The sequence below is a fragment of the Homo sapiens genome, chromosome 5 (genome assembly GCF_000001405.40).
Source record: "Homo sapiens chromosome 5, GRCh38.p14 Primary Assembly".
Lineage (NCBI taxonomy): Eukaryota > Metazoa > Chordata > Mammalia > Primates > Hominidae > Homo > Homo sapiens.
Window position 1 is genome coordinate 58,205,083 of NC_000005.10, and position 15,073 is coordinate 58,220,155.

Below are 15,073 nucleotides of genomic sequence, written 5' to 3' on the forward strand. Positions count from 1 at the left end.
GTTGGAGAGCTTGTGAACAAGTATATGGAAAGTGCTTATTCCTGTTTCTGGAAGTCACTGTAGGTTAGCAGAGCTAGCAGGAAGCCAATGTAAATATGAAGTGGGAAAGAGTGAAGACTAATAGGACCTACAAAAGCAAACTGAAATCTATACTCAGTTCTCGCTGACCTGAGTTTCAACAATGAGTGTGGTGGATCCACAGAAGTTGACACCTTTGGGAATTGCCAGACAAGCACACCTAATTTAATTTCAATTTAAGATAAACAACAACTAATTTTAGTATAATTATGTCCCAAATATTGCCTAGACACACACTAAAAAATTATTTGTTTATCTTAAATTCTATTTTCTTGGGCATCCTGTGCTTTTATTTGAAAAATGTGTCTTCTTTACCTTTTCCACATAGTGGCTTGGGACTCAGAGATGCTATAGAAGATCAGTCAGCAGAGACTGCCCCTACCCCAAGACAATCAGTGGTCAGCAAATCAGCAGCAGCACCTGGTGCCCTACATAGACCTTCCGGTTCCAATGACAGCTGCTTCACTTCTGCCTTCCTCCTTCCAAATCTCCCACTAATTTATCTTGTGGCTGACCCTTACCCAGAACCACAGAGAAGGGGAAATTATAAAAAAGCTTAGCTAAGTTGATGCAATAAAATAGCTATAATATTATTAAATAAATATTCAAACCCTACCAACAAAAATGTGTACCTTTCTCTCTGTCTTCAAGAAAGTAACTTAGAATGGATAATAAATTCTGCTCCAATAACATCATTTTTTGCCACTTTTGTCTTTCTACCATTCTTTATAGAATATTAACAGATTTAAACTGTGGGAGTCATGAACTCCAGCCAATGTATTTTTTCAATGGGAAGCAGGGGCCCAGATAGGTTATGTGAGTTACCAGAGAGCAGACTTATTAATGTATTAGAGTTAAGCTAAAACTTCTGGTCTCCTTTTTCCTAGATGTCTTTCCTCCCTGCCAATCTACTTTATTACTTCCGTCAAACCTGGGTTCAGTTCTGTTTAAGTAAGTCTTCCCTAATTAATTCTGGTCCCTGACCACTTTTTTGTCCAATATTGCTTTAAATATTTAGACCTTATGGTTATGTTATAAATTCTACACAAACAGATGTTAAACAAATCAGTTTTACTAAATAGCTCTGCTTTTTAAAAGCATAAATGCTGTTTCTCCCAAAGAGCAAATCTTTTTTACCTCAAGTAATTTGTAATAATAGTTCCATTTTATTTGGCAAAAGGGCATGCTGACAGAATTCTATACAATAAGTGGAAAAACAGAAATTTGCTAATGAAAATTTTTCCAGGTTTAGAATGTAAATAATAATGCATTTTCGCCTATGAATTAGGGTGACTGATAACCCTGTTGATACCAGGAATTTGTTACATTTCACTGCCGTATTCATGGATCGCATGTTAGCTTGTGTCTGCAGGTGTTTCTATTGGAATAAATAATAGTTTGCACTTTAACTGAAACATTATTTCATGATAAACTAAAGGAATTCAAAGCACTAATCACATCAACAAATTATGCAGAAATAACAGCCTCCATGTGAAATATAAGGGTCATTCAAAATATGAGATAATTTCATGAAAATAAACAGTTTTTCTATTTATTTGCTACAGTGGAAGATGGCAGATGGGTTAACTAAATCCAGATTGTCTTTTGCTACAGGTATAATAGACATGAATTGAGCTGAGGATGCTAAAGAGTATTTAATGTGTTACACAGGAAGTACCATGATGTCGCTTGATGCATTCTGTCTACCAAAGACAGAATCTAACTGCAAATAGTGAGAAATAATGCATTAGGCAAAGAAAACACGGTATTTATGCTCCTGTGAGGATCAAGTTTAAGAAAAGATTAAAATGCTATCATCTAGATAAGCAAGTAGAACAAGATGCAGTATTTTGCAGAATATGTTGAAGGAAAGCAAAATATCTGCAAGACTATTTACAAAAAGTACTTTGAGTGTGTGCTGAAAGAAAGACAAAAAGCTATCTGCAAATAATGGTGAGAACTTTAAAATGAGCCAGATGCATTCTGCCACAGAACTGCCTCAGACAGGAAACCTCCATGGCTCACCCAGAAGAAGGCCAATAGAACTGTACAGGACACCAGATTCAATTAGGGAGAATTACCAGATTCTTGCTGCAAGTTTATCTTGTGATCTTTAATATTTAAATATATAAATATGTAAGTTAATGAATTGAAAAAATTCCCTGCCAGAGCTTGACAAACTAGCACCGATAAGACAGGGATATAAATATATGATATCATCTATTCTCCCACCTCCTCTGTGCAGTAAGTTTTAGAATAATGACATGCATGTCCTGTCTATAATAAGATAGAGAAAACTTTATTTTCTTAACCAATAACCAGGCTCTCCAATTTTAAGTCCTAAAGTTTACCTCTGAAAGAAGGAGGTCACAGCTAGATTTGTTTTTTTAACTCCTAGATTAAAATGTGTATTAATTTCTTAAAGCTGCCCTAACAAAACCCCACACACTGGGTGGCTTATAACAACAGCAATGTATTCTTTTACAATTCTGGAGGCTAGACATTTGATCAAGTTTTGGCAGTGTCTTCCTGTCTCTGAAGCCTCTAGGGGAGGGTCCTTTCTTCTCTCTTCTTTCTCCTGGTAGTTGCTGGCAATTCTTGGGTTGCCTCCTAGTAGTCCTGAGCCTGATTGGCTGATCGTTCCAGATCGGTTCCTTCTAGTTCTGAGTTGAGATCACCAGTGCATTTTTTATGCACAACTTTGGTTTTACCTCTGCCCTGTGTTTTATCTTGAGGTTAATTGCTTTTGAGAATAAAACCATAAGCCATCAAGACAGAGCACAGCTGGGTTAGAATGAATTCCTTCCAGCAGTAATTTACCTACCTGATGCTTGACAGGGATATTTGCCCAATTGAAACATTTCTGTTATTCCCCACTCTCTTTCTTCTCTGCTTTCTGATTTGCATTGTAACCCTAGAAGCATCACAATTGGCCCTCCTTTCCAAGTCACAAACTGAAAAATCTTTCAATGAGAGTCTTGAATTTCAGAGACATCAACAGTTTGCACTTGGTTCTCAGAGCTGATGAATAACGGAACCTTTGGAAGTAGAGTCCATCAGTTTCTCTCAGCTGCTAGCCTGAAATTCTAGGGTTACTGAGAGAAGAACAGTGGTTCAAATATTGTGCATAAGTATGTCTCAGCATGCTCCATTCTGGTACCACAGTTCCAAATTTCTAATTCTGTGAATTGATCTGGAGATTTTAAGGAAAATCTGCTTCCCATCCTGCCCATCCTATATCCCCTGTTTCTTTCTACTCCCACCTGGAAAACTTTCTTCCTCCAGTAACACCAGCGACATTTGGTTTCTGCCTACTGACTGCCAAGCACAAGTGTGCCTTGTGCTTTGTGTAGAGGTAGGTATTATTTCTATTTTACATGAGGAAACTGCAGTTATTAACTCAATCTGGCTGTCTCCAAAACCCCATGCTTCTACTTCATCATGCTGTATGAGTCTCCTGTTTATTTTGTTTGTTTGTTTGTTTACTTGATCCCTTAAAAATGTTTTTTGTTAGATATTTATTTCAAGTTTCAAAAATAATACATACTCACACGGAGAAGCTGACCAAAATAAAGTCCCAAATCTCCCTGGCACCTGCTCTTCTACTCAGCTTCATATTATCTTCCATTTGAACCCTGAATTTACTTTACGTGGCTATCCCTCCAGGTAAATATTTACAGAAGGAATTTGTTCCTTTAAGGGTTACGTAATTGTCTGCATAGAATGAATAAACTAGAAATTATTCATTCATGTAATCATTGATGATCATTTACATTTTTCCTAGGTGTTTTTGGTTTGTTTGTTTGCCCACGGGAATTATAAATAATGCTGAGGCCGGGCACAGTGGCTCACTCCAGTAATCCCAGCACTTTGGGACTCCTAGGTGGGTGGATCACGAGGTCAGGAGTTCGAGACCAGCCTGGCAAACATAGTGAAACCCCATCTCTACTAAAAATACAAAAAATTAGCCGGGCATAGTGGCAGGCACCTGTAATCCCAGCTACTCGGGAGGCTGAGGCAGGAGAATCGCTTGAACCGAGGAGGCGGAGGTTGCATTGAGCCAATATCACGCCATTGCACTCCAGCCTGGGTGACAGTGTGAGACTCCATCTCAAATAATAATAATAATAATAATAATAATAATGCTGAAATTAACATGTTTGTATATATGGATGCTACATACTGATGCTTTCCTCTGTGTAGAATAGAATATATCCCCAAAGCAAAAACATGGAAATATATTTATTTTAATATGAATTTCCAGTTAACCTTCCAAAAATTTTGTAGTGATTCATTTCCTCATCCATAATGCATCAGTGTGCCCATTATCCAAAACTATGACCATCATTAGATATTATCAAGTTATCATTTTTTTTTTGAAAAACTGAGAGTAAAAATGACTTCCATTCATTTTTGCAAAACAATTTTGTTTTAGCACAAGAGTAACCTCCACTGCAAATTCATATTTTATAGTCATGGAAAAAAGTGTATATGTATGTGTGTGAATTTGCATGCTTTTCAAAAGACAAAAAAAGTTATAATGTTGGAAGATGAAGGAGACAGATAGCTGCTTAAACCCAGAGAAAGCAGTATGTGTGATGTAGAGCTTTAATTTCTAGACACCTCTGTCTCATTGAACATCCAGAGGTTGAGGCTGAGTCCTTGTCTGTGAAATCAGGAAAATAACATCTGACCCTTAACTACTAAAAGGTGAGTAGGAAGATTAATGAGTTCATATCATTAGCACATTTGAAACTCCTGGGGAAAAGGTGCTTTGGAAATGTAATATGTCTTATATTTGTTCCATAGGTTACATAATGCAATTTCAAAGTACACAGTGCCTATTTTGTAAGAGACTCCAAAAATTTTACTTTGTGCATAAAATGAATCTCATTTTAAAAAATCCATTGTACCTGTTATATAAGATGCATATCATAACTAGATGCTTTTCAGCTTTATTCTCACAGCAAGGGATGCTAACAATCTCAATTTAATACATTCCTAATTCCAGGGATGTTCTTTAGGAGAGATTGCATTCTGGAGTCCTTGAGAGGAAAAAAGAATTTTGACTAATGGTTAAAAAGATCAAAGATATTTAAATGGTGGGTTTTCTATGGGGATGTGGAGCTCTCCAGTTTGCAATAAAAATTCTGCTCAAGCAAGGATGGTCAACCAGTATATTTTTAATTATGTTGGGAAATGTGTGTCATTTGAACACTTCTGAACAAGAAAGCTGAGATGTTACTAGTTTCTAGTTAAAGTCATTGCAATCGGTTTCTATGAAAAGCATAAACCCTTATTCATTGGGGGCAATCATGAAATACATCACTTCAAATAAATGGCCTGGGCTGAGATGGTCACAAGAAGATTGGTCTGAGATGGTCACAAGAAGATTGGCCTTAAAGCAGATAATTTAGGCTAGTCTCCACAATGCCAAAACAGCTGGTCAGGCTTTCCAGTGGGTTCAGTGAAGCTGACTTTCAGGCCAGTTGTTTGGTTTCCTAGACACCTGCTTAAGTCATGCTTACAATTTACCATTTAATGAGTGTTCTGGGGGAAAAAATATCAAATAGGTAAAACCACAGATGCAATGTGATTGCAGATGATGCCTCTTAAGCTCCATTTTTTTAATCTGTCTCAATGTATTTATGAATATTCTGATAGAGCAAAGAAAATGTACATTTACATCTGTAGATGTGAGCATAGATTGTAGCTAGGCAATTATCTTATCAAACTCCATCTAGTTGATGGTTATAAAAGAAAGGAATCATCTCTAGCAAGATGAAAATGGAGGTGATTTTTCTCCAATTTATAAAATGCTATAGCCAGGATCAAGAAGAGGGTGGATTTTGAAGGCAGATAGATTTGAATGAGCACCTAAGGTCACTGGCTATGAAAGTTGAAAATGCAATTTAATTTTTATGAAAGCCTCTATTTCCTCACTGATTTCTTTTTTTGTTCCTCTGACATGCTTTAGGATCAAAGGTCTCTAAATTCTGTATTCCCTATGCTTGGATTCCTCTTTCTGTAATTATCCACATAGTTAATTCCTTCATCTTATTGAAGTCTTTGCCCAAATGTCATCTTCTCGATGAAGCCTATCATGTCCACCTTATTTAAATTTTAACCCAACCCCTACCTTGAACTACTACTTTCCTATTCTTTTCACTTTGTGCACATTATGTATTGCCTTCAAGATTTTTATCATATATTTATTTTATTTTCATATTTATTGTCTATTTTCTCCCCCTAGAATATAAAATCTATGATGGTAGGAAATTATAGTATGTTCATTCACTGATATATTCCAGTACCTAGAACTGTGCCTGGAAAAGAGTGCATGTTCAAAAAAAATATGGTGAGTGAATAAATAAAAGAAGCTGCTAGAGTCCCTTGCATATAATAAGCTCTCAAACATATTACTTCCCTTTCCTCCCCTTTAAGCAGCTAAATCTAAATACAGATTATTGCTCAAGCTTTCACCCTATTATACTGCCAAGTGGATAAATTCAATGACTAATGCAATTGAGTCCTGAATGCTTCTGCTATTTTCTTTAAGAGGTACGGTCATCTGCAAGATTTTTAAAAAATATATTATTTGTAATAAAACTTTTGAAGATGACCACTGCCTCAATGGAATAAGTAATCCATTCTTTAAAATGTGCTTAAAGAAAGAAATTCCAGGCCAGTCGTGGTGGCTCATGCCTGTAATCCCAGCAGTTTGGGAGGCTGAGGCATGTGGATCACCTGAAGCCAGGAGTTTGAGACCAGCCTGGCCAACACGGTAAAACCCCGTGTCTATTAAAAATACAAAAATTATCTGGGCGTGGTGGCTGGCGCCTATAATCCTAGCTACTTGGGAGGCTGAGGCACGAGAATTGCTTGAACCCGGGAGGCAGCTGTTGTAGTGAGCCGAGATGGTGCCACTGCACTCCAGCCTGGGCGACAAAGTGAGACTTTGTCTCAAAAACCAAAAAAAGAAAAGAAAAGAAAAGAAAAGAAAAGAAAAGAAAAGAAAAGAAAAGAAAAGAAAAGAAAAGAAAGAAAGAAAGAGAGAGAGAGAAAGAAAGAAGAAAGAAAGAGAAAGAAAGAAGGGAGGGAGAGAGAGAGAAAGAAGAAGAAAGAAAGAAAAAGAAAGAAAGAAAGGAAGGGAAGGGAAGGGAAAGGAAAGGAAAGGAAAGCAAAGGAAAGGAAAGGAAAGGAGGAAGGGAGAGAAAGAAAGAAAGAAAAGAAAGAAAAAGAAAGAAAGAAAGAGAAAGAAAGAAAGAAAGAAAGAAAGAAAGAAAGAAAGAAAATTCCATCAACCCCCTCAAGTATTTATTCAATGTCTAACAAACCTCCAGTGTAGATCCACCATTTATTCCATAAGTTCAATGTATTTTCCATACTGTTTTCATTGATTGTGTTTTTGTCTGGCTGACTTCCAATGATACAGAGGCGCCTTTGTGTTATCTATTCCTACTATAGAAAGGAAAATTTCAGTCCAACTTGCCTGTTGACCTATGTAAGGTAGATCTTTCTTTAAGCCCAGAGACTGACATTTTCCAAACCTTCCTTTAGAATTGGTATTTGTTGCATGTTGAGCTCTCCAGGAAGCAGATGCCAATCAAGATGGAGTTAAGGTGGCAAAAGGTTTACTAGGTAGTAACCCTGAGAAAGGGCATGAAGCTGGACTAGGTAGAGATCTGTCAGGCTGAGATGTACCTAAGAAATTCTTTGCCATAGGGAGCCATGGAGTAAAGATTGCCTATTGGAATCTTTCTTTGAGCAGAAATAGACAAGCCCTTATACCCCTGCCTTGCTCAATCATTGGCTGGGGGATGCCCCAAGGATAGCAGCACCTCAGCTCCAAACCTGAGGAGGATTCTGAAGCACTAACAGTTGGAGGCTGTTAGCTAACCATCCTTTAGCTGAGCAGCTATCTGGTCTCTAAGGGGCATCTGAGCAGTGCCTCCCCATGTCAGCCACTGTATTGTAGCATATGCTGTCAGGACTCCACCATGTCTCCTCTGTACTCACTCTCTCCATGTGTGTCAATGGCTTTCTTGTGCAGGCACCTGTGACACATCACTGCATGATATCTCTGACATGCTTGGCCAGTATGCATGGCAGGCCAGAGGGTGAGGGAGTTGCTGTTCCAACAGTAGCCTTCAGCCAATGACTGTGAAGGGAACTGGAGAAAAAATGACCAACTTCCTCCCTCCTCTGATGGGACAGTTCATGTTCTATACAGTCTCTCAGAAGTCCCCAGATAGATTGAGCCCCAGTTATCTGCAGTGTTAATTTCCTCATGAATGCAACTCTATACTGACTTCTTGATCTTGCCTGTCTCATTTCTCTACTTCCCTATCAGCACTTCTTGGGAATTACCTCCCAAATGAACCACTAAGACTCGAGTTCTTGTCTCACAGTCTGCTTTCTTGGGGAACCCAGCCTAAGATAACTAGCTAGCTCTGTATGTGGTTTATAGAAAGAACTCTGCCCACTAACTAAAGGTAAGATGGAGTGAGCAAATCTGGAGAACATCAGGTAACTGGTTCTAATAATCCCAGGGAGGTCAAATATCTTGACAAAGTTTACTCCTGAACTAATGGAAGAGTTAGAAGTGAAACCCAAGGGTCCATTTATTGCATTTTGAGTTGGATGAATTCTAATCATATAAAAGGAGGCGGATGAGCATCTAAAATAGACATGGGATATCATTCTTCACATACAGGTCCTGTGTGTTTCTTCTAGCTAAATAGGACACATTACTTTTTACTGAGGTACTCTAATAACATAACTTCACATTCTCATGCCTTTGAATTTTAAAATTACTTACATTTATTTTATTCCATTTTTCACAGTGACCTAATTATACAGCTAGGGATTTGAGGCTCCACTTTACCATAAGTAAACTGAGGTTTAGAGAATTTAAGTGCCTTCATTTGACCGTTGTTAAATTTTTAGCAACTAGAAGAGATAGGGGGCATACCCAGATTTTCTGGTTCTAAATACAACCATCTTGCCACTTTATCTTGTTAGTTTTTCTTAAATCCACACATGAACACAAGCAAGTATTTTTCTCCCCCAGTTTTTCTATTAGCACTATCAAAATGTTGTTCCATATGTGTACATTTAATGCCGTATTTGCATTCTAGTGATCTCTAGATGGGATTAACACATTAATAAATACAAAGAAGACAACTTCTAAGTAATATAGATAACTAAATTTAGTTATTAGCATTGTTATTTTCCATCAAAACTTTCTGCAAGCTGGGTGCAGTGGCACCTGTGATCCCAGCATTTTGGGAGGCCAAGGTGGGTGGATCACTTGAGGTCAGAAGTTTGAGATCAGCCCGGCCATTATGGTGAAACCCCGTATTTACTAAAATTACAAAAATTAGCTTGAAGTGGTGGTGCGCTCCTATAGTCTGAGGTACTTGGGAAGCTGAGGCACAAGAATCACTTGAACATGGGAGGCAGAGGTTGCAGTGGGACAAGATCATGCCACTTGCACTCCAGCCTGGACAACAGAGTGAGACTAACTAAAAACAACAACAACAATAACAACAACAACAACAACAAACTTTACTTTGCTATTTGATTATCTTTACTTTCTTACTAAGCTAGAGTTCAAGAAAAAGAGAAATGAAATTAATCTGATAAAAGAAGTGAACAAAAAAAGTCCCTTGAATCATCTACACACTGGAAAAGAAATCCTTCAAGAGTCCTCCTACTTCAGACCTGGAGAAAAGCCATAATTATTCAGTGTGTACAACTATAAACCCTGATATGAATTTTGAAGTGTTCTCTACAAGCAATCTTTTCACATCTCCCACTCCAATTATTTAATCATATAATTCAGTGCCAGCCATGTATGAGAATTTGGAGGGTAAAAATAAAGAACATTAAATTATATTTTGAAAGAGAAAATATTTAATTTCAAGTTGTAGCAGTGGAAATTAAGGCTGGGTGTTTTATTCAGAACAAACTGAAACATGAGCAGAAATGAGTGGTGCAAATATGAATATATAATGAGGAACACTAATGAAAGAAGTCAATCACTTGCGTCCTAACTAGTGAGATGATTGTATCTGACTGTGGAAGTTGTCCATGAGGATCCTCATGGTTCAGCCTTGAGCCTCAGCTGTGTGGTTTGTGCCTGGGCCTGGGGATTGAGACCACAGCTGGGAAAAGGTCTCCTTTGATTACCTCCCTGCTCTTGGAGTTGACAACCAAAGAATTCAAAGTCTAAAATTCTTTCAGAGAAGTAGAGACTTTCCCTCAAGGAGAAATAAAAAAACCTTCAGGAACAAGAATGCTTCATTCCCCTTTAGGAAAGCCAGGTCTAAATGAGCTGATCCCAATCATTAAGACCAGCAGTCATGCTGAGGGAAATGATCTAAAAAGCATGTCTGAGCCAATCAAGTTGAAAACAACCAGTGTTCCTTCAGAGTATTCCTGTCTCCTGGCTGGCCCTGCTGCAGCTGCCTGAGTCTACATCCCTGCCTAAATTCCACATTCCTGATTTAAGATCAGCAATATCCCTATCACCCTGCCTCCATCTTTCAGAAATCCCAACTAGAGCAGACCCAAGGACAACTCTAGCCCCTCTTACCTGGTATCTACCTACCATTACCTTACCTAGGACAGCCTAGGATGTCCTTCCATGCTCCTGTGGGGATTTCAGGACAACTCATAACAGGAAACCATGCTGGAAAACCCAAACAAAGGATCAGTCACCTCACTAGAATAAAAAAGGTTCAGGAGGTTGGAGCCAAGATGGCCGAATAGGAACAGCTCCAGTCTACAGCTCCCAGCATGAGCAACTCAGAAGACGGGTGATTTCTGCATTTCCAACTGAGGTACCAGGTTCATCTCACTGGGGAGTGCTGGACAGTGGGTGCAGGACAGTGGATGCAGCGCACAGTGCGTGAGCCGAAGAAGGGTGAGGCATTGCCTCACCTGGGAAGTGCAAGGGGTCAGGGAACTCCCTTTCCTGGTCAAAGAAAGGGGTGACAGACAGCACCTGGAAAATCGGGTCACTCCCACCCTAATACTGTGCTTTTCCAATGGGCTTAACAAACGGCACACAAGGAGATTATATCCCGCACCTGGCTGGGAGGGTCCCATGCCCACGGAGCCTCGCTCATTGCTGGCACAGCAGTTTGAGATCAAACTGCAAGGAGGCAGTGGGCTGGGGGAGGGGCGCCCGCCATTGCCAAGGCTTGAGTAGGTAAACAAAGCGGCCTGGAAGCTCCAACTGGGTGGAGCCCACGGCAGCTCAAGGAGACCTGTCTGCCTCTGTAGGCTCCACCAATGGGGGCAGGGCACAGACAAACAAAGGCAGCAGTAACATCTGCAGACTTAAACGTCCCTGTCTGACACCTTTGAAGAGAGTAGTGGTTCTCCCAGCACGCAGCTTGAGATCTGAGAACGGGCAGACAGCCTCCTCAAGTGGGTCCATGACCCTCGAGTAGCCTACTTGGGAGGCACCCCCCAGTAGGGGTGGTCTGACACCTCACACATCTGGGTACTCCTCTGAGACAAAACTTGCAGAGGAACGATCAGGCAGCAGCATTTGCGGTTCACCAATATCCACTGTTCTGCAGCCACCACTGCTGATACCCAGGCAAACAGGGTCTGGAGTGGACCTCCAGCAAACTTTAACAGACCTGCAGCTGAGGGTCCTGAATGTTAGAAGGAAAACTAACAAACAGAAAGGACATCCACACCAAAAACCCATCTGTACGTCACCATCATCAAAGACCAAAGGTAGATAAAACCACAAAGATGGGGAAAAAACAGAGTAGAAAAACTGGAAACTCTAAAAATCAGAGCACCTCTCCTCCTCCAAAGGAATGCAGCTCCTCACCAGCAATGGAAGAAATCTAGATGGAGAATGACTTTGACGAGTTGAGAGAAGAAGGCTTCAGAAGATCAAACTACTCCGAGCTAAAGGAGGAAGTATGAACCAATGGCAAAGAAGTTAAAAACCTTTAAAAAAAGTTAGACAAATGGATAACTAGAAGAACCAATGCAGAGAAGTCCTTAAAGGAGCTGATGGAGCTGAAAACCATGGCACAAGAACTATGTGACAAATGCATAAGCCTTAGTCGCCGATGAGATCAACTGTAAGAAAGGTTATCAATGATGGAAGATGAAATGAAGTGAGAAGAGAAGTTGAGAGAAAAAAGAATAAAAAGAAATGAACAAAGCCTCCAAGAAATATGGGACTATGTGAAAAGACCAAATCTACATCTGATTGGTGTACCTGAAAGTGACAGGGAGAATGGAACCAAGTTGCAAAACACTCTGTGGGATATTATCCAGGAGAACTTCCCCAATCTAGCAAGGCAGGCCAACATTCAAATTCAGGAAATACAGAGAACGCCACAAAGATACTCCTTGAGAAGAGCAACTCCAGGACACATAATTGTCAGATTCACCAATGTTGAAATGAAGAAAAAAATGTTAAGGGCAGCCAGAGAGAAAGGTCAGGTTACCCACAAAGGGAAGCCCATCAGACTAACAGCTGATCTCTCGGCAGAAACTCTACAAGCCAGAAGAGAGTGGGGGCCAATATTTAACATTCTTAAAGAAAATAATTTTCAACCCTGAATTTCATATCCAGCCAAACTAAGCTTCATAAGTGAAGGAGAAATAAAATACATTACAGACAAGCAAATGCTGAGAGATTTTGTCACCACCAGGCCTGCCCTAAAAGAGCTCCTGAAGGAAGCACTAAACATGGAAAGGAACAACCAGCACCAGCCACTGCAAAAACGTGCCAAATTGTAAACACCATCAAGGCTAGGAAGAAACTGCATCAACTAATGAGCAAAATAACCAGCTAACATCATAATGACAGGATCAAATTCACACATAACAATATTATCCTTAAATGTAAATAGGCTAAATGCTCCAATTAAAAGACACAGACTGGCAAACTGGATAAAGAGTCAAGACCCATCAGTGTGCTGTATTCAGGAGACCCATCTCATGTGCAGAGACACACATAGGCTCAAAATAAAGGGATGGAGGAAGATCTACAAAGCAAATGGAAAACAAAAAAAAGGCAGGGGTTGGTTGCAATCCTAGTCTCTGATAAAACAGACTTTAAACCAACAAAGATCAAAAGAGACAAAGAAGGCCATTACATAATGGCAAAGGGATCAATTCAACAAGAAGAGCTAACTATCCTAAATATATATGCACCCAATACAGGAGCACCCAGATTCATAAAGCAAGTCCTTAGTGACCTACAAAGAGACTTAGACTCCCACACAATAATAATGGGAGACTTTAAGAACCCACTGTCAACATTAGACAGATCAATGAAACAGAAAGTTAACAAGGATATCCAGGAATTGAACTCAGCTCTGCACCAAGTGGACCTAACAGACATCTATGGAACTCTCTACCACAAATCAACAGAATATACATTCTTTGCAGCACCACACCACACCTATTCCAAAACTGACCACATAGTTGGAAGTAAAGCACTCCTCAGCAAATGTAAAAGAACAGAAATTATAACAAACTGTTTCTCAGACCACAGTGCAATCAAACTAGAACTCAGGATTAAGAAACTCACTCAAACCGCTCAACTACATGGAAAATGAACAACCTGCTCCTGAATGACTACTGAGTACATAACGAAATGAAGGCAGAAATAAAGATGTTCCTTGAAACCAATGAGAACAAAGACAAAACTTACCAGAATCTCTGGGACACATTCAAAGCAGTGTGTAGAGGGAAATTTATAGCACTAAATGCCCACAAGAGAAAGCAGGAAAGATCCAAAATTGACACCCTAACATCACAATTAAAAGAACTAGAGAAGCAAGAGCAAACACATTCAAAAGCTAGCAGAAGGCAAGAAATAACTAAGATCAGAGCAGAAGTGAAGGAAATAGAGACACAAAAAACCCTTCAAAAAATCAATGAATCCAGGAGCTGTATTTTTGAAAAGATCAACAAAATCGATAGACCACTAGCAAGACTAATAAAGAAGAAAAGAGAGAAGAATCAAATAGATGCAATAAAAAATGATAAAGGGGATATCACCACTGATCCCACAGAAATACAAACTACCATCAGAGAATACTATAAACACCTCTACACAAATAAACTAGAAAATCTAGAAGAAATGGATAAATTCCTCGACACAAACACCCTCCCAAGACTAAACCAGGAAGAAGTTGAATCTCTGAATAGACCAATAACAGGCTCTGAAATTGAGGCAACAATTAATAACTTACCAACCAAGATAAGTCCAGGACCAGATGGATTCACAGCCGAATTCTACCACAGGTACAAGGAGGAGATGGTACCACTCCTTCTGAAACTATTCCAATCAATAGAAAAAGAGGGACTCCTCCCTAACTCATTTTATGAGGCCAGCATCATCCTGATACCAAAGCCTGGCAGAGACACAACAAAAAAAGAGAATTTTAGACCAATATCCTTGATGAACATCGATGCAAAAATCCTCAATAAAATACTGGCAAACAGAATCCAGCAGCACATCAAAATCTTATCCACCATGATCAAGTGGGCTTCATCCCTGGGATGCAAGGCTGGTTCAACATATGTACATCAATAAATGTAATCCAGCATATAAACAGAACCAACAACAAAAACCACATGATTATCTCAATAGATGCAGAAAAGGCCTTTGACAAAATTCAACAACCCTTCATGCTAAAAACTCTCAATAAATTAGGCATTGATGGGACATATCTCAAAATAATAAGAGCTATCTATGACAAACCCACAGCCAACATCACACTGAATGGACAAAAACTGGAAGAATTCCCTTTGAAAACTGGCACAAGACAGGGATGTCCTCTCTCAACACTCCTATTCAACATAGTGTTGGAAGTTCTGGCCAGGGCAATCAGGCAGAAGAAGGAAATAAAGGGCATTCAATTACAAAAACAGGAAGTCAAATTGTCCCTGTTTGCAGATGACATGACTGTATATCTAGAAAACCCCATGGTCTCAGCCC

General features: G+C 39.4%; 1 long non-coding RNA gene across 1 annotated transcript in view; it reads right to left on the reverse strand.

Annotated features, from left to right (window-relative positions):
• Positions 1 to 13,818, reverse strand: part of LOC105378983 (uncharacterized) — a 32,196-nt gene extending 18,378 nt beyond the window's left edge. Inside the window, exons 1-2 of the long non-coding RNA XR_948350.2 lie at positions 13,781 to 13,818; positions 10,705 to 10,774 (exon numbers count right to left, since the gene is read on the reverse strand). This is a non-coding gene — a long non-coding RNA (uncharacterized LOC105378983). The remainder of the gene's footprint in view (positions 1 to 10,704; positions 10,775 to 13,780) is intronic.
• Positions 13,819 to 15,073: the final 1,255 nt, after the last annotated feature.